The sequence below is a fragment of the Homo sapiens genome, chromosome 11, assembly GCF_000001405.40.
Source record: "Homo sapiens chromosome 11, GRCh38.p14 Primary Assembly".
Classification (NCBI taxonomy): Eukaryota; Metazoa; Chordata; class Mammalia; order Primates; family Hominidae; genus Homo; species Homo sapiens.
Window position 1 is genome coordinate 29,377,704 of NC_000011.10, and position 26,072 is coordinate 29,403,775.

General features: G+C 36.6%; 1 long non-coding RNA gene and 1 pseudogene across 2 annotated transcripts in view; one reads left to right on the forward strand and one right to left on the reverse strand.

The window, feature by feature from the left end:
* LINC02755 (long intergenic non-protein coding RNA 2755) overlaps positions 1-26,072 on the reverse strand; it is a 258,473-nt gene that overhangs the window by 41,826 nt on the left and 190,575 nt on the right. Inside the window, exon 3 of one of the 2 annotated variants that reach the window (NR_183754.1) lies at positions 17,660-17,749. This is a non-coding gene — a long non-coding RNA (long intergenic non-protein coding RNA 2755). Of the gene's footprint in view, positions 1-626; positions 749-17,659; positions 17,750-26,072 lie in introns of both variants that reach the window. The other variant, NR_183753.1, reaches the window with a different exon arrangement.
* On the forward strand, positions 13,822-16,143 carry LOC100421558 (microtubule affinity regulating kinase 2 pseudogene; annotated as a pseudogene).

Sequence of the window (26,072 nt, forward strand, 5' to 3'; positions counted from 1 at the left end):
CTCTCATCTTCTTTCTTTTTCTGTTTATCCACTTTAGGAATTATGAAATTAGTCTTTGTCCATTCAGTATAGAAAGAGGAGATAGTTCTGTAAATGGTTAAAGATTGGGTGGTCTGCCATTTGTACAGGCTAATAAGTCACCAGCCTTCTGTTTACTCTGTTTGTAATCTATGCATGTCAAAAGTGGGGATAACTCCTGCCAACCTGCAAAGCTCTTTCTAAATTATTTGAAGGCCAAGAAAATGGGGGATACTAGTACTAGGTGTTGCTAATTTCTTTCTTCTCTTCCTACCCTATCTGGGACCTAAGCAACTTCTGAGATTTTCCTTTCCCAGGACTCTGCTGTACTGATTTACAGGCTTGCATAAAGGCTGGAGAGAAAAAAGTTTCCATCTCTGCATCACAACTTCCAGGCTTTTGCTTCCTGTTAGCATCAGCTGCTATTTAGCTATGTAGAGCAAGTAAAATGGCTGCTTAGGAACTCACTGGAACTGAAAGGCAAGCTGGAGACATTATTTTGGCATGTTTCTAGATTTCCCTTTATACCTTTTAAATAAAGTTTTAATTCTGGAAGTTTATAAACTTATCTTTGGCTTGCAAGAGAAATAAGATAGTTCAGTACGTACAGCAGAATGGAAATCTGAATGCCGGGCTCTCTGCAGTTTCAGCTTTATCCTTGATTGGCACTTGTCCTTAAATCTAAATTTTCTGAAATCCTAGCTTCCACAGCTTATCTTCTTTGTTGCAACTGCAAAGTCAAACAAGCAAGCTCAGATAGGAAACTTTAGTGCAACCACATTACAGATATTCCATTGTAAAGTACTAACACTTCTTGCATGGCAATATTGATAACCTCATTTCCTATCTGGTGTTTGAATATGAATCATTGACGATTTAAAACGAGTAAGTAAAATAATAAGGATTGTAGTGGCATTACTATTGACCTATTCCAGCCTTGCCCCTTCCCTTAATGATCTCCTAAAAAAAAATCCTTCCTTCATGTTTCTTTCAGCATGATTTTCTTGAATTGCAAACCTACTCATGGCACTCTCAGGTGTAAAACACGAAAATGCTTCCTCATAGCTTTTAGCATTTTTTGTTGTCACAAAAAGCAGCTATCTGATTTTTATTTAACACCATAGTGCTGCCTTTGACTGCCAGAATATAATTTTCAGTTTATATTTATTTATTGAATAAGTAGTTCACCCAAAGCAGTGGGAGCAGTTTTGTTCACCTTGATGACAGGAATTGTGCCTAGTTTTATGTGTCCACACCAAATTTGACACCTGCTATGTGTTCCATAAATATATATTGAAGAAAGTAAGAGATGAAGGAATAGATACAGATATGTGTTTTTCTGAGATTTTGAGGAGAATTATCCTTATTGTGGTACAACATTTAGATATGCTGATCTGAATATAACTTAATTTTTTTTCTTTTTTTTTGTTTTTTGTTTTTTGAGACGGAGTCTCGCTCTGTCACCCAGGCTGGACTGCAGTGGCACGGTCTCTGCTCACTGCAAGCTCCACCTCCCGGGTTCACGCCCTTCTCCTGCCTCAGCCTCCCAAGTAGCTGGGACTACAGGTGCCCACCACCACACCCAGCTAATTTTTTGTATTTTTAGTACAGACAGGGTTTCACCGTGTTAGCCAGGATGGTTTCGATCTCCTGACCTCGTGGTCCACCCGCCTCGGCCTCCCAAAGTGCGGGGATTACAGGCGTGAGCCACCACAACTGGCCAAAACTTAATTTTAAACTAGAAATACCATTTGACCCAGCCATCCCATTACTGTGTATATACCCAAAGTATTATAAATCATGCTGCTATAAAGACACATGCACACATATGTTTATTGCAGCACTACTCACAATAGCAAAGACTTGGAACCAACCCAAATGTCTGACAATGATAGACTGGATTAAGAAAATGTGGCACATATACACCATGGAATACTATGCAGCCATAAAAAATGATGAGTGCATGTCCTTTGTAGGGACATGGATGAAGCTGGAAACCATCATTCTCAGCAAACTATCGCAAGGACAAAAAACCAAACAGCGCATGTTCTCACTCATAGGTGGGAATTGAACAATGTGAACACATGGACACAGGAAGGGGAACATCACACACTGGGGACTGTTGTGGGGTGGGGGTAGGGGGGAGGGATAGCATTAGGAGATATACCTAATGCTAAATGAGGAGTTAATGGGTGCAGCACACCAACATGGCACATGTATACATATGTAACTAACCTGCACGTTGTGCACATGTACCCTAAAACTTAAAGTATAATAATAATAAAAAAAAGAAAATTTTTTTCCTAAACTTATTTCTTCTGAAATGTCCAGAGTACAAAATACTGTGTTCAACACAATGCAACAACATACAGTCTGTACAGAATTGCATTTTCCTCACCACTTCCCTCAGCAGTCATATTTCTTTTTATCTGGATCCACTTGTCCCTGAGGTGCAACTAATCACTATTCTTTATACAGATCTGAGAACAAAGCCTTGCAAATACTGATACTCAATTAATTCTTGGGAAGTGCTTTGGTGAACACTTTTATGATAAAAAAGAATAAAATGTAGTTAGAAAGGGCCTTGAGTTACTTAATTTTGTATTCTCCCAGTTTCCTGAAGAACACAAAATTTAATTTACCCCTGTAGTCTAATATTAATCTTATTTTTAAAAATATTGTTTTAGTGCTTTGCTTAGTAATCCATTCTATTGTCTATTAGTCAGATTATCCTAGAATCTAGTATCTTTAACCTAGGTGGCCTTAGGTATGTTCCATAAAAACTATAACGTCAAATTTCTTCATCAGCAATATGGAAATAATAGCTCTATCCTAATAGGCTTGTTGTGAGGATTAGAAATAAAATACACACTAAGTACGTAGAACAATGTCTGGCACTGATTAAGGGCTCAGTATATTTTAGTTATGTTTTTGTTGTTATTCCACATAATATCATATTTTAATTAGTTGCAAGCTCACAGGAGAATGAATATGGCACCACAGCAGCCAGAGTCAGTGTAAAGAGAAACCTCCAAGTGAGGAATGATTAAGTTGCCCACTATGCTTCCTTCTCCCTTAAAAGTGCCTTTTCTGTTGCATATGTTGATCAAATGAGCAGCCCATGACCCATATTCAAATTATGTGTATCTGAATTTTTGAAAATGCATGTATTTAAAGATTCCTAGCACTTCATAGCCAGAAGAAATGTTGATGTCTATAATGTCTCCCCCTAATTTTACCAGTGAGAAAACTGAGAACCAAAGAGGATGATTATCTTGATTGAGGTCATGAATAAGCATTCTGACTCCTCACCTGATTCTCTTTCTCTCTGTCTCTTTCATATATTTAAAGAATATTATTTTGGAATAGTTTTAGATTTACAGAGAACTTACATGAAAAATACGGAGTATGATGCACACCCAGTTTCCTTGTTATTATCATCTTGCATTACTATGGTATGTTTGTCATAACTAATGAACCAACATTAATGCTTTATTAACTATAATGCATATGTTTTCAGGTATCATGTTTTCTCCATGATATCTTTTTATTTTTTTTGGTTGTGCCTCAACATTGTCCACCTATCCAAACCAGAATTGCTTTGGCCTGTGGAGGGGCTCCCCTTAAAATGTAAAATAACTAAAAAAGTGCATGAGAACAATGTCTCACCAAATAGAAAATAACACCAAGAAGTTAGAAATTATTTCAACAAATAAAATGGAAAGTTTGCAGTTGAAAAATACAATTTCAGTGCTAGAGGGGCTCAACAGTAGATGTGATGAGACAGAAGAAAGTATAAGCAAACCTGAATATAGACAAATTAAGATGATCTAATATGGAACAAAAATGAAAAAGAATGCAGAGACTTCAACAGAGCTTCAGATTCCTGTGCAGCATGCTTATCATACTGGCATACACATGATGGAAGTCCCTGGAAAAAAAGAAGGCTGAAACAGAATAATACTTGAAGGAATAATGGTCAAAAGCTTCCAACATTTTATGAAGTACATTCATGTAAACACCTAAGAAGCTCAATGAATTTCAAATAAGATAAACTCAAAAATACCTACACCTAGACACGTATATTTAATTTATCAGAAACCAAAGACAGAAAATTGAAAGCAACAAGAAAAATGTGTCCCATGATATACAAGGGATCCTCAATAATATTAGCAGCAAATTCCTCATCTGAGACCATGGATGCCAGAAGGCAGTGGGATGACTGAAAAGAAAATGAAGAAGAAATTAAGACATTACCTGATAAACACCAGTTGAGAGAATTTGTCACTAACAGACATGCCCTACAAAAATTACTAAAGAAAAGTAATTCAGTCTTGAATGAAAGGTCAAATTCTAATCCATATGAAGAAATCCTGTAATCCAAACCATAAGCTGTAATCCAAATCCACATGAAGAAATAGAGTACCCTACAACTACTTATGTAAGTATACATATATATATATATACACACACACACATACACAAGATAGTTAAAAACATTTCATGCAAAAACCTGTACATAAATATTCATAGCAGCTTATTCACAATAGCCAAAAAGTGGAAATAACCCAATTATCCATCAACTGATGAACAGATAAACTATCATATAACGGCCTTCAATGAAATATTTATCTATAAAAAGGAATAACACACTGACACAGGCTATGACATGAAAGGACTTTGAAATTGCTGTGCTAAGTGAAGGAAGCCAGGCGTAAAAGGCCACACATTATATAATCCCAGTTATATGAAATAACACAAATAGACAAATACATAGGAACAGAAAATAAGTTAGTGCTTTTAGGGGCTGAGGGAAAAGAGGAATGGGGAATGAATGCTAATAGTCACAGGGTTTATGTAAAACAAGAAAGTTCTGGAATTAGACAGTGGTGATGGTTGCACAACCTGAGGACATGCTAAAATCCATTGGCTTGTAAACTTCAGAATAGTTAATTATGTTGTCTTAAATATATCTCAACTTAAGATGCACATGCACACAAAACAAAGAGTAAGTAAATTATAGAAAAAGCTAAATTATAGAAAAAGCTAAAGAAATAGTGGTATATTCATGCAATTGTATGCTATTTGGAATTATAAAGGAATGAACTAAAGATGCTGACAAGATGAATTTCAAAAAGATTTTGAGGAAAAGAAGCCAAAACAAGAGTACATTCTGTGTTATTCCATTCAATTGAAGTTTTAGTGTAAGCAAACAAAACTATAGAAACATATTAGACAGTGGTTGCTTGAAGTAGTGGTGGGAGAATGGACTGAGAAAAAGTATGAGGCAACTTCAGTGACAGTGATATTCTTTATGTTGATTTGTGTGGTGTTTATTTAGATGTATACATTAGTCAAAACCGATTAAAGTGTGCACTTAATATCTGTGTATTTTATGTAAATTTTAAGTCATTACAGTTGACTTATAAAAAAAAGAATGAGGTAAGAAGTAGTAAGGCCACTTCTGCTGGATTTTAGAACGCTGGAAAATCTGATGTTGGCAATTAAGCCAAATTTATTCATTTACTTCACAGGTTTGGGAAAAGAGAAAGTTGTCATTAAATTGACATCAAACAACCAGAAGACAACTTGGGAAAAAGCAGGAATTTATGTCCTTCAGCTTTTGCTAAGATATTCATGCCATGATATTTGGCCTATGTGAGTAAAGTCTGTCTCTTTGGTTATCTGTAAAATTTATATAAAATATCAATCTATAAAGATTAAGTAATCAAAAAGGTACAGGTGTGAAGCTGCAACTCCTTTTTTCTCGGTATGATGTCCTTTGGGGAGATCTTTTCTCTTGAGATCTAGGAAGTACATTCATTTATTCTGATACTATTTGCTACCAACATATACATATTCTAGCAGGATGATCATCATTTTGCCCTTGGAATAGAAGTGAAAGAAGAATTGAATGTTTATGCCAGAGAGGATGTCAGATACATTTATTGGATACCTACCATATGTTTAGCATTTTGCTATATTCTAATTTATTCCTCAAAACTAACCAAAAAAGTGAGTTTCTATTTTTTATATAAAATACACAAAATATAATATATATTTTGAAATACTCCATTTCTATAAATCCCCATGGCATAGGCTGAGGTTTAAAGGGATTATATAACTTATCAAAAACACACCTGTAAGTATCAGAGTTTATATTCAATACTAATTTTGTTTGACTTCAAAATTTGTCCCCTTACTGCTATATCAGATTCCCTTCCAATTGAGGACCTCTTCTCATGGAGAAAAAAGTTAAGAACAAGAGAAGAAAACTGCCTTGCTCAAGTACACATAGGATAAAACTAAGTGACTGAGCTGGAATACCAACAGCAGCCTAATAACTTTAATTCAGTGATTTTTCCACCAAAGACTCAACAGCAACTGATAAGTGAGTAGTACTTCTTAACTCTGGTATGGTTTTTCTGGTGTTTATTCCATGCCTAGATGTTTGCTGATTCTGCAGGCACATCTCTATGGCACCATGTCAATGGTGCCTCTCAGGGATTACAGATCTTCCTTTGTGTATCAATTGACCTTAGGAGCTTTTCCCAAACCAAAAGAAATAATAGAAGAAAAGGCTAAATATTCTATTTTCAACTTACTTCTCTTGAAAATGAAACAAAGAGATTTCTGTGGTGAGAATACATATTCAAAAATATAAATCTTGCCAGGGAGTTTGATGTTTTCTTAAGAATGATTTGTAAACATGGACCCCTAATTACACTGTCATAGAAACTATAGTTTCTAAAATAATTGGAAATTAAAGTCATCCATTCAGTATAAAATCACCAAATTTGATCCCTTCCAGAAAACTGAGTCAGAATTCAGTGTTCTCTGTCACTTGGGAATTTTTTTGTGAGGATTAAATTAGACAACGCAGGTCGAGCATTAGAACATTGCATGGTATTTAATAAAACCTTAAGAAGGATTAGAAATAATGGTGATAATAATGAGGATGATGATGGTATTGGTAAGGTTCTTCTCAAAGAAATTATAGAAGAGTGATGACAAATTAATTCAAAGAAAAAGAAATCAAGGAGGCAGAGGTTTCAACATTAAATATGTACATTGCTTTAGAGCTATTTTCTCTGTGCGTTATTTTTTTAAAATTTTATTATTATTATACTTTAAGTTTTAGGGTACCTGTGCACAGTGTGCAGGTTTGTTACATATGTATACATGTGCCATGTTGGTGTGCTGCACCCATTAACTCATCATTTAGCATTAGGTATATCTCCTAATGCTATCCCTCCCAGCTACCCCCACCCCACAACAGGCCCTGGTGTGTGATGTTCCCCTTCCTGTGTCCATGTGTTCTCATTGTTCAATTCCCACCTACGAGTGAGAACATGCGGTGTTTGGTTTTTTGTCCCTGTGATAGTTTGCTGAGAATGATAGTTTCCAGTTTCATCCATGTCCCTACAAAGGACATGAACTCATCATTTTTTATGGCTGCATAGTATTCCATGGTGTATATGTGCCACATTTTCTTAATCCAGTCTATCGTTGTTGGACATTTGGGTTGGTTCCAAGTCTTTGCTATTGTGAGTAGTGCCGCAATAAACATACGTGTGCATGTGTCTTTATAGGAGCATGATTTATAATCCTTTGGGTATATATCCAGTAATGGGATGGCTGGGTCAAATGGTATTTCTAGTTCTAGATCCCTGTGGAATCGCCACACTGACTTCCACGATGGTTGAACTAGTTTTCAGTCCCACCAACAGTGTAAAAGTGTTCCTATTTCTCCACATCCTCTCCAGCACCTGTTGTTTCCTGACTTTTTAATGATTGCCATTCTAACTGGTGTGAGATGGTATCTCATTGTGGTTTTGATTTGCATTTCTCTGATGGCCAGTGATGATGAGCATTTTTTCATGTGTTTTTTGGCTGCACAAATGTCTTCTTCTGAGAAGTGTCTGTTCATATACTTTGCCCACTTGTTGATGGGGTTGTTTGTTTTTTTCTTGTAAATTTGTTTGAGTTCATTGTAGATTCTGGATATTAGCCCTTTGTCAGATGAGTAGGTTGCAAAAATTTTCTCCCATTTTGTAGGTTGCATGTTCACTCTGATGGTACTTTCTTTTGCCGTGCAGAAGCTCTTTAGTTTAATTAGATCCCATTTGTCAATTTTGGCTTTTGTTGCCATTGCTTTTGGTGTTTTAGACATGAAGTCCTTGCCCATGCCTATGTCCTGAATGGTATTGCCTAGGTTTTCTTCTAGGGTTTTTATGGTTTTAGGTCTAACATGTAAGTCTTTAATCTATCTTGAATTAATTTTTGTATAAGGTGTAAGGAAGGGATCCAGTTTCAGCTTTCTACATATGACTAGCCAGTTTTCCCAGCACCATTTATTAAATAGGGAATCCTTTCCCCATTGCTTGTTTTTGTCAGGTTTGTCAAAGATCAGATGGTTGTAGATATGCGGCATTATTTCTGAGGGCTCTGTTCTGTTCCCTTGGTCTATATCTGTTTTGGTACGAGTACCATGCTGTTTTGGTTACTGTAGCCTTGTAATATAGTTTGAAGTCAGGTAGCTTGATGCCTCCAGCTTTGTTCTTTTGGCTTAGGATTGACTTGGCAATGCAGGCTCTTTTTTGGTTCCATATGAACTTTAAAGTAGTTTTTTCCAGTTCTGTGAAGAAAGTCATTGGTAGCTTGATGGGGAAGGCATTGAATCTATAAATTACCTTGGGCAGTATGGCCATTTTCACGATATTGATTCTTCCTACCCATGAGCATGGAATGTTCTTCCACTTGTTTGCATCCTCTTTTATTTCATTGAGCAGTGGTTTGTAGTTCTCCTTGAAGGAGTCCTTCACGTCCCTTGTAAGTTGGATTCCTAGGTATTTTATTCTCTTTGAAGCAATTGTGAATGGGAGTTCACTCATGATTTGGCTCTCTGTTTGTCTGTTATTGGTGTATAAGAATGCTTGTGATTTTTGTACATTGATTTTGTATCCTGAGACTTTGTTATTTTTAACCTGCTGTCACTCTTAGAGTCTAGCTTCACATAGAAAGAACAGTGAGTTAAGAGAAACAGGGATGTAAAAGGGAATAGAAGGAACACAGTTATTGCAAAGAGTTACCAATTGGCCATTGTACTTGATACATAAATAAGAAACAACTTTAGTTAATATTTTGATCCCGGTGAAATTATGTTTTGTTATAGGGGGAATAAAATAATAGAAAGAGAAATATAGAAAATTTGAACAATTTGCTTTCTCTAATCTTTTGTATGTATACACACACACCAATCTTAGATACATTTAGATATATTTCATTGGGACAAATATATGTACATATTATATAGATTATAACCCTTCAGGGCAATTTATAAAGAATCCCACCAATTAGGATACTAATATATATTATTTAATTATATATTAATATATAAGAACTTATAAAATATATGTAATAATACAGCCTCATAGTTGTATCTTTTTGATTACTTAATCTTTATAGGCTGAGAGTATATATAAATTTTATACATAACCAAAGAGACAGACTTGACCCACAGCCCAAATATCATGGTTATATTATAATATATATACACACATAATATATAATAATATATACGTAATATATAATAATGTATATATAATGAATATATGTTGTAATATATACTATATATCAGATATATACTTATATATTTGTTAATATATAACATTTTCTTATAATTTAGTATATAATATATAAATATATAATATTTATATATTTTTATCTAGTTATATATATTTTTGTCTATTTATAATTATAGATAAGAATATGTGTATGTATACATATGTGTGTACATATGTATATGTGTATATATACATTTATGTGTATGTATGTGTTTTTGTGTGTATATATATAGATATATATACACACATTAGGATACTAAAATTTATATATCAGTGTCCTAATTGGTTAGATTTGATATTAATAAAAAGCAATCTTTGTGCTCTAAAGAATAAAATAATCATATTGAAACATCTGATTATGATACTAATTTAATGAATTTCTGTTACCAAGCAAAATGTGGAACCATCCAAAGAAAACTGTGGATCGTTACAGTTCTATTAGTTTATGTTTCATGTATTTTGTTCTTGGGTGCACGTACATTTAGGATTGGCGTGTCTTTTTGGCAAATTGATCCTTTATCACTGTGTGATGTTCCTATTCATTCTTAAAGTCTTTCTTGCTCTTAAGTTTTCTTTGATGTTTATATGGTCATTCCATCTGTGGTTGACTCTCAATGACTCACACACTTGTATCATGTCCTCCCTTGAGGCTGAGCAGCAAATATCATGAAACTATATTATGTTCTATGACAAAAGTTTAGAGGTTTTGCAGATGTAACTAAGGTCCTCAAAGAGTTGATTTTTAGTTAGTTAATCAAAAGTGTGATTATCTGAACAAATCAGGCAAACCCTTAAAAACAGAGAAAGGAATTAGCAGCAGATTGTCCACTAATAGCCTCAATAAGGCAAATGGCCATTTTGTTGAGAAGACCATGTGTCAGGAAATGGCGAGTAGCCTTCAGATGTTGAGAGCCTCAGTCCTACCACCACAAGGAGCTGAATTATGCCAAAACCAGTGAGCATGGAAGGGAAACCCAAGCTTCACCTGAGATTGCAATCCTGGTAGGCACCTTTATTTCAGATTATTGAGTCCCTGAGCATAAGATTTAGCTAAACTATACCTGGACTACTGACCTACAGACATTGTGATATAATAAATTTGTTTTGTTTTAATCCACTAAATTTAAGATAATTTATTATGCCCTGCTAGAAACCAATCCAACACTAGTTTTCCTTTGTTCTGTGTTTTCATGGTATATCTTTTCCATCTTTCTTTTTATTTTTAAGGTACCCATATTACTATATTTTGTATTTTGTTGTTGATAGCATGTAGTTGATTTCTTAAATTATTCTGACAATTTTTGTTTTTCAATTGGTATGCTTAGGCCACTTATTTGAGGTACATCAATATAATTATTTAGGTTTGTATTTATGTCTACAATTGTATTATTTGCTGTTTATTCTCTCAGTTTCTTAGCTGCAATCCATGGGAGAACAAAGGTACAATGTGAATAATTCATCTTGATCAAAACTAAATCAAGAATCTGTTCACTTTTAAATAATTCAGAAGAAGAAAAAAATTATATTTACTAATGTATTTACTTTTCTAGTTATTTCTATTTCTTCCAATAAATAAGAATTTCCATTTGGTGTTATTTTCTTTTAGACCAAAAGCCTTTCAATTTTCAATTGTAATTTTTTGCATATGGACCAGGACCAGCTTTCAAAAACTCCTGTTTTGTTTTGTCAATCTAGAATTATCTATATTTTGCTTCCATTTTTGAAAGTTATTTTAACTAGCTATAAAATTCTATGATGGTGATTTTCTTTTTACTGCATTTTGAACATGTTCCATTGTTCTTAGACAGCCTTTTATTTTTCTATTTTTCCGCCCCGTGAATTTTTTTTTTTTTTTTTTTTTTTTTTTTTTTTTTTAGCATGGCTTTCATCAATATGCCTAGGTATGGTGTTCTTTGTATGTACTCAGTTGAGATTTACTGAGTTTCCTGGATCTGATACGTATTCAGATACACATTGTTCTTACACTCTTCAAGTGATCGTGCTTTAGCACTCTTACTGTTCTTATAGAACATGGTTTACTACTCTAGCCATGTTCTTTTGTAAAATTAGTTAATTCATTATTTAATCATTTCAAATTTTATTTTAGATTTAGGGGGTATATGTACATGTTTGATACATGGGTATATTGCATGATGGTGAGGTTTGGGGTACAGATCCTGTCACCCAGCAAGTGAGTATATTACCAAATAGGTAGTTTTTCAACCAATTCTCCTTTCCCTCTCACCCCTGTCTAGTAGTCTGCAATGTCCATTATTCTCATCTTTATGTTGATTTATACTCATTGTTTAGCTCTCACTTATAAGTGAGAACATGCAGTATTTGGTTTTCTGTTCCTGAGCAATTCACTTAGGATAATGGCTTCCAGCTGCACCCATGCTGCTGCAAAGGACATGATTTTGTTCTTTTTTATGCTGCATAGTATTCCATGGTGTATATGTAGCAAATTTTCTTATCCAATCAACCATTTGGGGGCACCTAGGTTGATTCCATGTCTTTGCTATTATGAATAGTGCTGTGATAAACATACAAGTGCATGTGTCCTTTCGACAGAGTGATTTATTTTCCTTTGGGTATACACCCAGTAATGGGATTAATGAGTCAAATGGTAGCTTTGTTTTAGGTTCTTACACATTCTGAGACTAAGCTCATTCATGCTTCTCTAAATATGTAATATGAACACCTTTGAGTTTAGAAAGCAGAACTTTAACTACAAAGTTCCACTAAGACCTGTACAAAAGATTTCCTTCTTCTATGGCAGACTAAGGAGTGATATAACACTTCCCTGAAGAATGGTGTTAAAAATTGCAACAGAAATATAACAATCCTCCCCAACCCCACAGCCTATCGCCTGGCTCTGGATACCTAAAAGATGCATGCATGCATTCATTCATTTCAGAAATACTCATTAATAAGGCCATGTCCTGTAGGCACTGCGTCCGTAGTGATGAATAAGACAGACAAATCTGTGGGTCAGTTTCATAAATAATGATTGCTAGCAGGAAATAATACAGAATAGGGACAAAAGGAAGGAAGCCACTTTAGATTGATCAGTAAAGATAACTTTGAGGAGGAACCATTCGGCTAAATGGTGAGAAGTAGACAGTAGTGCAAATATTGGAAAGAACATTTAAGCTAGATAAAATAACACTGTAAAAAAGCATAACTGACATATCAAAGAAATTTAAAATATCATAAGGAACTCTTTTGAACAACTCCATGTAAATACATGTAACCAACTAGATAAAATTGATAATTCCTTAGGAAATTGGTAGAGATAATAAATAGAGCAATCTCCATAAAAGAAATAGAAAATATCATAAAGTAACTCCCCCTCAAATAAAAATAAATAAATCAAAATTAAAACTACCATGTCCCAATAGTTTCAGAGGGGAATTCTATGAAGTCTTTAAAGATCAGATTATCCTAGAGCTGCTTAGATAGTCCAGAGTACAAAAAAAGAAAAGCTTCAAAATTGAAAAACTATTTTCATAAAATTAATATAAAATTGACAACAAAATCTGACAACTATTGAAGACACAAAGCACAGACCCATGCAATTTATGGCAGGTACCATATGCATATTTTGTTTAATTCTTGGAACAAACCTGAAAAGTTGGAGTTATTATTTCATTTTACATGTGAGAAAATTGAGGCTAAGTAAAGTTGCCCAGTGTTTTAGAACTTGTAAGGAAGCAACAAATTTTACCATGTTGACACAGCATACTTCCAGGGCTATCACTCCCAGGTTGTCAACTTCATCTATTCATTAATTCATAAATTAATTCATTCTACACACATTTCTTGAATGCCTACTATGTGTCAGGAACTGTACTAGGTGCTGAAGGATAGACAACAAAATAGAATAATAAACAAAAAATAGAATAAACAACAAAACAGACAAAAATTCCTGCTTGCCTGGAATTGATATTCTAGTGAGGGAGACAGACTATATGCAAAATAAAAAGTAAAACATGTAATTTGAATGGTAATATTGTTCTGGAAAAATAATGTGTATACCTGGCTTGGACCTTTACTCAAGCATGTCAATTGTAACAAGACATCTCAAGAAATTGAGAAATTTGAACACAGACTAAAATAATATGATAGTTAATTTTATTAGATTAGATAATGGCATGTGGAGTACTCTAAACAGAAGTGAGACATAAATGCAGAAAACCTGCTCTTGGATGCTGATGTGAAAGTCAAAATTTCAGACTTTGGCTTAAGTAGCAAATTTGTCTTTGGCAACAAGATGGATACCTCCTGTGGCAGTCCCCCATGGGACCCTAAATTCTTCCAGGGCCAAAGGTATGATGGGCTTGAGGTTGATGTGTAGAACTTGGGAGTCATATATACACTGATCAGTGGGGCTCTGCCTTTTGATGCACAGAAATTCAAGGAGCTGTGAGAGGAAGTACTGAGAGTGCAATACCATATTCCCTTGTACATATCCATGGAATGTGGAAACCTGCTCAAGAAATTTATCCTTCTAAATCCCAGCAAGAGAGTCATATTAGAGAAAATAATTAAAGATTGATGGATGAATGTAGACCATTAAGATAATAAACTAAAGCCAGATGTAGAGCCATTCCCTGACTATTAGGACTCCAGTGGACTGAGTTGACAGTGTCTGTGGTTACATACTGGAAGAGACCCAGGACTCACTCATGGGCCAGGAGTACAATGAAGTGATGGCCACCTATCTGTTCCTTAGCTAGAAGAGGTCTGAGTTGGAGGACTGCACCATCATTCTGAAGCCCAGTTTTCAGTTGATTTGAGCAATAGCAGTGTACCTTTCCATCCCATAGAGTACAGCACAGCAACTCTGCCAACCCCATACAGCTGAGTTCCAGAAAGCCTGCCAATTCCCACCTTTAATTCCCACTCTCAGAATACCCAAAGTAGCAATGCAGAAAATCAGTGGCCTGTGGAGGACCAGGAGTCAGGGACGAAGACCAACAGTATAGCCAGTGGGTCTGCCAGGCCCCTCCATGGTCTGGAGAGGAAGAAAAAAAACCCTCCAAAGCAATTTCTCCACAAACACAAATCAAAGCAGAAATTTACAACTTTTGGAGAGGGCCAGCCTTGGTGAGTTATCCACTCAGCATGGAAAAGACTGCCTGACTATGCCGGGGTTTGGGTCTCCATGGCTTCTGCTTCCACCATAGTGTCCCCAGTTCCTCTCAGCCTGCACCAGTGCCTTAGTGCATTATAGCCACTATAATCAAATACCTTAGACTTGGTAATTTATAAACAACAGAAATGTATTGTTCACAGTTCTAGACACTGGGAAGTCCAAGATCTATGGCTGTAGCAAATCCAGTGTCTGGTGAGGGCTCATTCTCTGCTTCATAGATGGCTCCTTCTCATTGTGTCCTCAAATGGCAAAGGGACAAACAAGCTCCCTCAGGTCTCTTTTGTAAGGGCATGAGTCCCATTCATGAAGGCAGAGCTCTCATGATCTAATCACTTTCCAAAGGCCTTATCTCTTAATACTATTGCATTGCTTGTAACATATAAGTTTTAACATATAAATTTTGGGAGGACACAAACACTCAGACCATAGCAACCAACAATTAAGATGGCCTTGGTTCAGCATAATCCTGCCTCAGACCTGACCCCAGGAGAATAACTCTCTATTCCAGTGCAAGGCCCCAGGATGTTCCTGGGTTTTGGCCTATGCTTCACAAACAGCCTTTGCAGTAGTGGTGGTTTCTGACAGAACCAACTTTCTCAGAGTGTGTTCAAAGGAAACTTCATTCTCACTGGCATACTCCAATAGATGTATGACTTGCAGAATTTGCCATATGATGTGACCCCAGTCTAGGGCCAGCTATTGGGAACTTCTTCAGCAAGTTCTCATTCAAATGCATACACAGAAATCTCGGTTTCACAATGAGAACACATGGACACAGGGAGGGGAACAACACACGTCGGGGCCTGTTAGGGGATGCAAGGGGAGGGAGAGCATCAGGACAAATAGCTAATGCATGCAGGGCTTAATAACTAGGTGACAGGTTGATAGGTGCAGCAAACCACTATGGCACACGTTTATCCATATAACAAACCTGCACATTCTGCACATGCATCCCAGAACTTAAAAAGAGGAATCTCAGTTTCAGGTTTGCTTGAAACAACCTGAAATAACCAGAAACCAAAGACCAAGTGAAGATATGGTCTTATGTGGTGGGCAGCCAAGGCAATGATAAAGAGAAATAATTTCTCAAGGCCAAAATGTGTCCACCACACTTTCCATGGAGAATGAAGATCATGAGCACCATGGAACCTAAGGTGGAGAAGGTGCAGTAGGTAAACGGCAGTGTGTGAAATGTACAAGGAGTATGTGCCATTTTGCATGCAGGGCTTGCTGGGCCAAAGGCACTTCATGCAATGGAAGGTGGAGGTGTGTAAACTGCCCTGGTGATCTCTCTGCAGAGTTCAATTAAAGCAGGTATCAAGCACTTTCATGGCAAAAAAGGAGTGGAATCTTTAAAAGCCTTCCAGTATCCTCCTGGGAGACAGGAGGGGGCAGCTGGCATAGCTGCCAAGCCTGCCATTCAGTCCCTACCTGGGAGAAACTGTATGGATTAAATTGATGGGCTTCCTCCAGGGGCACTTCTCTCCTCTCTGCCCTCCTCTTTCATGTTTGTGAGGGAGAGAAAATGGTTTTGTAGAAATAAACATAGTGCAAATGAAAACAGGCTACCTAGTCAAAGTTGCTGGAGCAAGGTAGTCAGAGCCCATCACTTGCCTTTGGCAGAGATTCCAATGTAGGCAGGGCAGTAGGAAAGCTTTATATTAAAAGAGGAAGGCTTCGGAACTCATCGGAAGCTGTTGGCATGAGGAACCTGGGGCTTCTTATATGATTGGTATGTGGAGCATATTTGAGTTTTTCTGGTTGCCTCAAGTTGGGAAGGGTTTGAGAAGACAAGAGCAAAAAATTAGACCACTGGCAGTTATTGACCAAGTTCTGACTTTTCTAGGTCAATTACTTGCACAGGTTGTAGTTTAGCTGCCTAGACTTATTGCTGCGGGTATGGTGAATCAGACTATGTTGAGTCCCTCAATTCTTTACCTGCGCAGAAATCTACTTTTCTTTCCTCTTACTAAAAGGAGGCAAAAGAAAGGAAGGTAGAGTGGGTAAAGACAGAACACTCCTTGAATAATGCAGGTGCACAGAATTTTCCACCTAAAGTAGATGTTTTTTAATTATCAAAGAAAAAGAAAAAAATATTCTGTGGCCACCTTTCCTCCCTGTCCCATTGAAACAGTAGAGATGGCTTATGAGGTTTCCCAGGAAGGTGGCTCATGGCTTGGAACACTCTCAGGCTGGAGTGATGGAGCTCCCTGTTAGGCCTTCCCAAGGTGTACCTTTACCCTCTCCTCTCCTTTACCTTCTCCTCTCCTTTCTCCTTTCCAAGGTGCTTCACCCTCTCCTCTCCTTTCTCTTTTCCAAGGGAACCCAGAGGTGGCCTGCTCCTGGGCTCAGGCTCCTGGACTTAAAGCCTGGTTGGCTGTGGCTGGGTATAGGGTAGCCCAGGGTAGGTGGGACTAGTGGGACTCACTCTTGGGCTGCAGAGATGGGGGTGACGGGCTTTGGCCTCCCTCTATGCTGAACCCTCTTTCCTCACTCCTTCCATGGAGCTGGGCATTTCCTCCTGCAAGCTTCTGTGCAGGAGGTATTTGCTCCCCTCAAGAATGCATGCCATGCTTCCTCTGTCAACCTCATGGAAAGAAGGAAGGGAGGGGAGGGTACTACAGGGGCATTCAGCTTCTCATGTCATAGTAATCCCATATCATCATGCATCTGATAATTTTTAAAGTTTATTGTGGTCATTTTACATTAAAAAATAATAAAAGTTAAGCAGTAGATTTTGAGGTTATTAGGGACGTAATATCTTTAATCACTCTTTTAGGACCTTGGTATTTAATCACCAGTAAGCAATAGCTTCAAAGTTTTGAGATCATCAAGGGACAGATATCTTTATTCTTACCAGAAATTGCTTTAAGTAGAGTAGAGGTATTGTTGCAGCTTCAGAAAGTCTCACTTCACCTCTGGCTTCACTCCAAATTTTTGAGACCACCTAAGGACAGATATCTTTGTTCTTAGCAGAAATTGCATTAACTAGGGATATTGTTGCAGTTTCAGGTAGTCTCGCTTCACCTCTGGCTTTGGATGTTTGAAGGTGACTTAAAGCATCTTTTTTGTGGAGTGCAAGTTTCCTAGATCTTGAACTTGCTAGACTGAGACTAAGAGATACCAGGTCTGCAAGTCCATAAAATTTTAAGAGCACAAAACCACAAGATTCAGAGAAAATGAGAACTCAAGCCTGTGAAACTGCAAAAGAGCAGCCCGTAAGAATGCAGGAGTGTGGTATCACCATGAGACTGGGAGACCACAAGACTGCAAGGCCGTGGGACTGACATTATCAGACATTGAAATTGGGAGACCGAGACTGCAGATCTCTTTCTGCTTTCCAGCTATGCTTTCAGTCTCTGCTTACTCAGCAAAGTTTCACTGTAAAGGAATTCCTCATTATGGAGAATTGCCTTTGCATTTGAGTCTTCTTTAGATTCAAATTTGAAACACCAGCTTGCAGGCTTGTCAACATTTTGAGAGATTTACTTCTGAGCAAAGAATTCCCTGACAAGCTCAATCCTCCACCTGATCTGTTCCCAGCCTCAGCAATTGGCCCTGTTTGTGAATGCATCTTCTGTTATCACCCATGGAGCACTTACCTCTCAAGAGTTAAGATTTCTTAGACTCCTTCATGTCCACAATTATCAAATGCCTTTGAGGAAAAAGTATGTATTTATGCTTTAGTAAGAAATTCTAGTTGTTTGGGAGGTAATGAAATCCTTATCTTCTCCATCTTAACTAAAAGTAAAAATTCCAACTTGATTTCTGGTAGCTTTAGGAAAAACTCTGTCACATCTATGGCTTCAGCAGTGAGTAAGTGGTCAGGGATATATTTGGGTAACAATCTCTTAGTTTTGGAGAAATTACAACCCTTACCCAAACAGAAAGAGGGCAGGGGTTGGCAGTGTGGGTCATGGATTAGAGTTTTTTGGCAATCTCATTGTTGCAGAAGCTCTCTCTTAAATCCCTGTCTTGAATCAACACCTGGGAAAAGAAACCGAATCCATGTACAACAGTGGGGAGAGGTGGTGGGTTTAGGATAGACCCTGGCTGTCTTCCAAAGAGATAACAAACTGAGACCACTTTTATGATAAATGTCATGGTGCTTTTGCAAAAAAGATCTCTGTTATTAAAAATTATACACCTCCTTTTGTTTCAGAGTTAGTTGGCTGGGATTGATTTTTTTTCTGTTACTATAAACATAAAATAAAATAAAATATGAACCCATGTAATCTGAAGACTTTCTAAAGAAATCCTTTAGTAGTCAGTGCCAACATTAAATGTAAATCAACTTATTTCACTCCACTGCACTTCAGAAACCAATTTCAATTTCTCTCACATTACAAGCCAAGAACTTTATGATGACAAACATAGTTTGGGGTAGAATCTCCCTGAGCCTCTTCTCCAAGCTCACATCTTACAGTTCTGCCATTGTAGCCTACCTCCTACTATTACTTAACAGGCCAGACTTTCACATGGAGTGTTCCCTCTCCCGTTGCCACAGATTTCCATATGGCCAATTTCTTAGTCTTTGCCCACATGTCATGCTCTCCATAAACATTCCTATTTATAAGCCCACTGACTTGGTACCATCTCCTTTAAGAGCATTTATTACCATCGAATATCCTATATATGTTACTTGTTTTGTTTATTATTTATTTCCTGTTTCCCCAACTCCCCCTAAAATGAGAGTCCAATAATAAAAGAAATCTTAGTCTTTTTGATTCACTAGTGTATCCTAAGGGCTCAGACGAATGCCTAGCCAGTAGCAATAACTCAATACAGTCACGCATCACTTAACATTGAAGATAGATTCTGAGAAATGTGTCATTAGGTGATTTTTTCATTGTGTAAATATAGAGTGTACTTACACAATCCTATATAGTATAGCCTACTACACAGTTAGGTTATATGGTATAAACAACTACACATCTAGGCTATATGCTTTAACCTACTACACACCTAGACTATATGGTTTAGCTTACTGTATACCTAGATTATGTGGTGTAGACTACTACACACCTAGGCTATATAGTTTAGCCTACTCCTCACCTAGGCTGCATGGGATAGTCTATTATATACCTAGATTATATGGTTTAGCTTACCACACACCTAGGCTATATGGTTTAGACTATTAAACACCTAGACTACATGGTTTAGCTTATTATACACCTAGATCATATGGTATAACCCATTACACACCTAGGCTATATGGCTTATCCTACTACACACATAAGCTATATGGTTTAGCTTATTACACACCTAGATTATAAGGTGTGGCCTACTATACACCTAGGCTATATGGTTTATCCTACTACACACATAGGCTATATGATTTAGCTTATTACCCACCTAGGTTATATGGTGTAGCCTACTATACACCCAGGATACATGGTTTATCCTACTACATACCTAGGCTATATAGATAAGCTTATTACACACCTAGGCTATATGGTGTAGCCTATGACACACCTAGGGTATACAGTTTATTTTACTACACACCTAGGCTACATGGTATAGCTTAATACACACCTAGGTTATATGGTATAGCCTACTAGGCTATATGGCTTAGCTTACTATATACCTACATTATATAGCATAGACTACTATACACCAAGGCTATATTGTATAGCCTTCTACACATCTATGTTATAGTCGCCTACCACACACCTAGGCTATATGGTTTATCCTATTACATACCTAAGCTATATGGTTAAGCCTACTATATGCCTAGATTATATAGTAAAACATACTATACACCTAGGTTTAGCTTACTACACAGCTAGTTTATTTCATATAGCCTACTACACACCTAGTTTATATGGTATAAATGATTGCACAATGAGGCTATATGGTTTAGCTTAATACATACCTAGATCATATGGTATAGCCTACCACACAGCTAGATTATATGGTATAGCCTATTGCTCCTAGGCTACAAACCTGTACAGTGCTGAATATTGTAGGTAATTTTAATATAGTGGTATGTGTTTATCAAAACAAATCTAAACATAGAAAAGGTCAACATACCAGAATCTCTGAGACACATTCAAAGAAGTGTGTAGAGGGAAATTTATAGCACTAAATGCCCACAAGAGAAAGCAGGAAAGATCTAAAATTGAAACCCTAACATCCCAGTTAAAAGAACTAGAGAAGCAAGAGCAAACACATTCAAAAGCTAGCAGAAGCCAAGAAATAACTAAGATCAGAGCAGAAGTGAAGGAAATAGAGATACAAAAAACCCTTCAAAAAATCAATGAATCCAGGAGCTGGTTTTTTGAAAAGATCAACAAAATTGACAGACCACTAGCAAGACTAATAAAGAGGAAAAGAGAGAAGAATCAAATAGACGCAATAAAAAATGATAAAGGGGATATCACCTCCGATCCCACAGAAATACAAAATACCATCAGAGAATACTATAAACACCTCTACGCAAATAAACTAGAAAATCTGGAAGAAATGGATAAATTCCTCGACACATACGCCCTCCCAAGACTAAACCAGGAAGAAGTTGAATCTCTGAATAGACCAATAACAGGGTCTGAAATTGAGGCAATAAGTAATAGCTTACCAACGAAAAAATGTCAAGGACCAGATGGATTCACAACCGAATTCTACCAGAGGTACAAGGAGGAGGTGGTACCATTCCTTCTGAAAGTATTCCAATCAACAGAAAAAAAGGGGATCCTCCCTAACTCATTTTATGAGGCCAGCATCTTCCTGATACCAAAGCCTGGCAGAGACACAACAAAAAAAGAGAATTTTAGACCAATACCCCTGATGAACATCCATGCAAAAATCTTCAATAAAATACTGGCAAACCGAATCCAGCAGCACATCAAAAAGCTTATCCACCATGATCAAGTGGGCTTCATCCCTGGGATGCAAGGCTGGTTCAATATATGCAAATCAATAAATGTAATCCATCATATAAACAGAACCAACGACAAAAACCACATGATTATCTCAATAGATGCAGAAACGGCCTTTGACAAAATTCAACACCCTTCATGCTAAAAGCTCTCAATAAATTAGGTATTGATGGGACATATCTCAAAATAATAAGAGCTATCTATGACAAACCCACAGCCAATATCATACTGAATGGGCAAAAACTGGAAGCATTCCCTTTGAAAACTGGCACAAGACAGGGATGCCCTCTCTCACCACTCCTATTCAACATAGTGTTGGAAGTGCTGGCCAGGACCATCAGGCAGGCTAAGGAAATAAAGTGTATTCAATTAGGAAAAGAGGAAGTCAAATTGTCCCTGTTTGCAGATGACATGATTGTGTATCTAGAAAACCCATTGTCTCAGCCTAAAATCTCCTTAAGCTGATAGGCAACTTCAGCAAAGTCTCAGGATACAAAATCAATATGCAAAAATCACAGGCATTCTTATACACCAATAACAGACAAACAGAGAGCCAAATCATGAGTGAACTCCCATTCACAATTGCTTCAAAGAGAATAAAATACCTAGGAATCCAACATACAAGGGATGTGAAGGACCTCTTCAAGGAGAACTACAAACCACTGCTCAATGAAATAAAAGAGGATACAAAAAAATGGAAGAACATTCCATGCTCATGGGTAGGAAGAATCAATATCGTGAAAATGGCTATACTGCCCAAGGTAATTTATAGATTCAATGCCATCCCCATCAAGCTACCAATGACTTTCTTCACAGAATTGGAAAAAACTACTTTAAAGTTCATATGGAACCAAAAAAAGAGCCCGCATTGCCAAGTCAATCCTAAGCCAAAAGAACAAAGCTGGAGGCATCATGCTACCTGACTTCAAACTATACTACAAGGCTACAGTAATCAAAACAGCATGGTACTGGTACCATAACAGAGATATAAACCAATGGAACAAACCAGAGCATCAGAAATAATGCCACTTATCTACAACTATCTGATCTTTGACAAACCTGACAAAAACAAGCAATGGGGAAAGGATTCCCTATTTAATAAATGGTGCTGGGAAAACTGGCTAGCCCTATGTAGAAAGCTGAAACTGGATCCCTTCCTTACATCTTATACAAAAATTAATTCAAGATGGATTAAAGACTTAAATGTTAGACCTAAAACCATAAAAACCCTAGAAGAAAACCTAGGAAATACCATTCAGGACATAGGCATTGGCAAGGACTTCATGTCTAAAACATCAAAAGCACTGGCAACAGAAGCCAAAATTGACAAATGAGATCTAATCAAACTAAAGAGCTTCTGCACAGCAAAAGAAACTACCATCAGAGTGAAAAGGCAACCTACAGAATGGGAGAAAATTTTTGCAATCTACTCATCTGACAAAGGGCTAATATCCAGAATCTACAATGAACTCAAACAAATTTACAAGAAAAAAACAACCCCATCATAAAGTGGGCAAAGGATATGAACAGATACTTCTCAAAAGAAGACATTTATGCAGCCAAAAGACACATGAAAAAATGTTCATCATCACTGGCCATCAGAGAAATGCAAATCAAAACCACAATGAGATACCATCTCACACCAGTTAGTATGGCGATCATTTAAAAGTCAGGAAACAACAAGTGCTGGAGAAGATGTGGAGAAATAGGAACACTTTTACACTGTTGATGGGACTGTAAACTAGTTCAACCATTGTGGAAGTCAGTGTGGCGATTCCTCAGGGATCTAGAACTAGAAATACCATTTGATCTAGCCATCCCATTACTGGGTATGTACCCAAAGGATTATAAATCATGCTGCTATAAAGACACATGCACACGTATGTTTATTGAGGTACTATTCACAATAGCAAAGACTTGGAACCAAGCCAAATGTCCAACAATGATAGACTGGATTAAGAAAATGTGGCACATATACACCATGGAATACTATGCAGCCATAAAAAATGATGAGTTCATGTCCCTTGTAGGGACATGGATGAAGCTGGAAACCATCATTCTCAGCAAAGTATCGCAAGGACAAAAAAACAAACACCGCATGTTCTCACTCATAGGTGGGAATTGAACAATGAGAACACATGGACACAGGAAGGGGAACATCACACACCAGGGCCTGTTGTGGGATGGGGGTAGGGTGGAGGGATAGCATTAGGAGATATACCTAATGTTAAATGACGAGTTAATGGGTGCAGCACACCAACATGGCACATATATACATATGTAACAAAACTGCACGTTGTACACATGTACCCTAAAACTTAAAGTATAATAAAAAAAGAATAAAAATAAATAAGAATAAGAATTGAGAGTGCAGAAATAAGCTCATATATATGTATGAACAACTGATTTTTGACAAGGGTGTTTGGACCAAAAAGCGTGAAGAATAAAAGAAAAATAGATAATTTTTACTTCAATAAAATTAAAACACTTGTGTTTAAAAGGACACTATCAAGAAAGTGAAAATTCAGAGAAAATATTTGCACATCCTATACCTAAGGAACATGTATCTAGAATAGATAAGGACTTCTTCAAACTCAATAATAAAAAGACAACTCAATTTTTTAAATGGGCAAAGGATCTGAATGGTTATTTTTCCAAAGGAGATATACAAATGACTAATAAACACATGAAGAGGTACTCTATGTGACTAGTCATCAGGACAATGATCAAAGCCACAATGAAATATCACCTTATCACCTCACAACTATCAGGCAGCTAGAATCAGAAAGTCAGATAACAACAAGTCTAGTGAGGATGTGGAGAAAATAGAACTCATTCATTTCTGGTGAGAATGTAAAATATAGTAATGTAATTTATTAAGAATAGTTGGAGTATGGGAGTACTAAGGACCTTCCAGACATAGTGCAAGTTAATCTGCAGGACTTGACTACTCTGGGATAATGTGTGTCTTCTGTTTGAAAGAGATGTTTGAATTGACATCTGAAGGATGATTACCATTAACTTGGTAAAGGAGAGGAAGACCATTTCAAGCAAAGGGTATTATTTGCATAAATACCCTGAGCATGAAATGAAAATGATGCATTGGATAGGCAGAAGAGGGAGCTTGCTTGGTTGAAAAGCAGTAAGTAAAGTTACAAATGGCTGATGTAAGGCTTGTAGTACAGACAGGAAGCAGATTGTGTAAAACTTGGTGCTTTATATTAAATAGTGCTTTTAAATCTGATTTACTTTCCATACTGATATGCAATACTTCTCTAACTCCTTCAACCATGATTGATTAACCCATTCTTATTGACCTATGTGGAGAGGATGCATTTGAAGTGCAATATTTTAACTCAGACGGTTTCAAAGGATTGTAATTTTATTATTTTTAAACTTAGAAGTTACAAATGCTCACATAGTGCTTCTTATACTCCTAGAGAGATGTTTAATGGAGTGGATGAGGCTCATCAGTAATTAGCAGCAACATTTGCATATAATTAGTCCTTTGATGCCTTATAAACCAGTTTCTCTCTTAAGTAAACTTCAGAGTTATGTTTACATTTTCAATTATTTTTTCCGAAAGAACATATTTCACAAAAGGAGTGAGTTGAAAGGATTTTACCAGCATCATTTTGCTCCTTTGGGAGATTCTAAATGCATATGCAAAATCTTCTGGAAGAGAATCTGTTTTGATCAGAAATCAGTGACTGAGGAAGCCTCCCTGAGGTTTTAGACACACACACACACACACAGCATGAAGAGATTTTCAACAAGGCAAAAATACAAATGTTGGGATCGGGACAATCAGGGAAGAAATACAATGACCTCTTTAAAGCAAGTGAAGGAAATATATATATATATATATATATATATATATACACACACACACACACACACACACACATATATTTAAATCAAATGAAAGAAATATATTTAATATATATTGAAAATACATATATAGAAAAAACAGGAAATAAGTAGCCGTAGGCAGACCTTTCAAAGACAAGTAATTTATTTATATACATACATAAAAACATATAATTTATGTTATAAAATTATATATGAATGTATATTTTTAAATTATATAAAATTATATGTAAATATATATTTTCTAATATAATTATATATTTTATATAATTAAATATATATTTTTTTCTTCACTTAATTTAAAGAGGTCCTTGTATTTCTGCCCTGATCCCAAAATTAGTATTTTCTCCATGTTGGAAATTTCTTTATGCTCTCTGTACCCTAATTATATTTAGTGCTACACAATGGGGACAGGAAAGGGAAATGGGAGAGTTGTAAACAAAAATATGAAACCAAAATCAAAAAATGTGCTGGTTTCTCATACTTGCTCCCCAATCAAATGGTAAAATGTATGTGATTGTA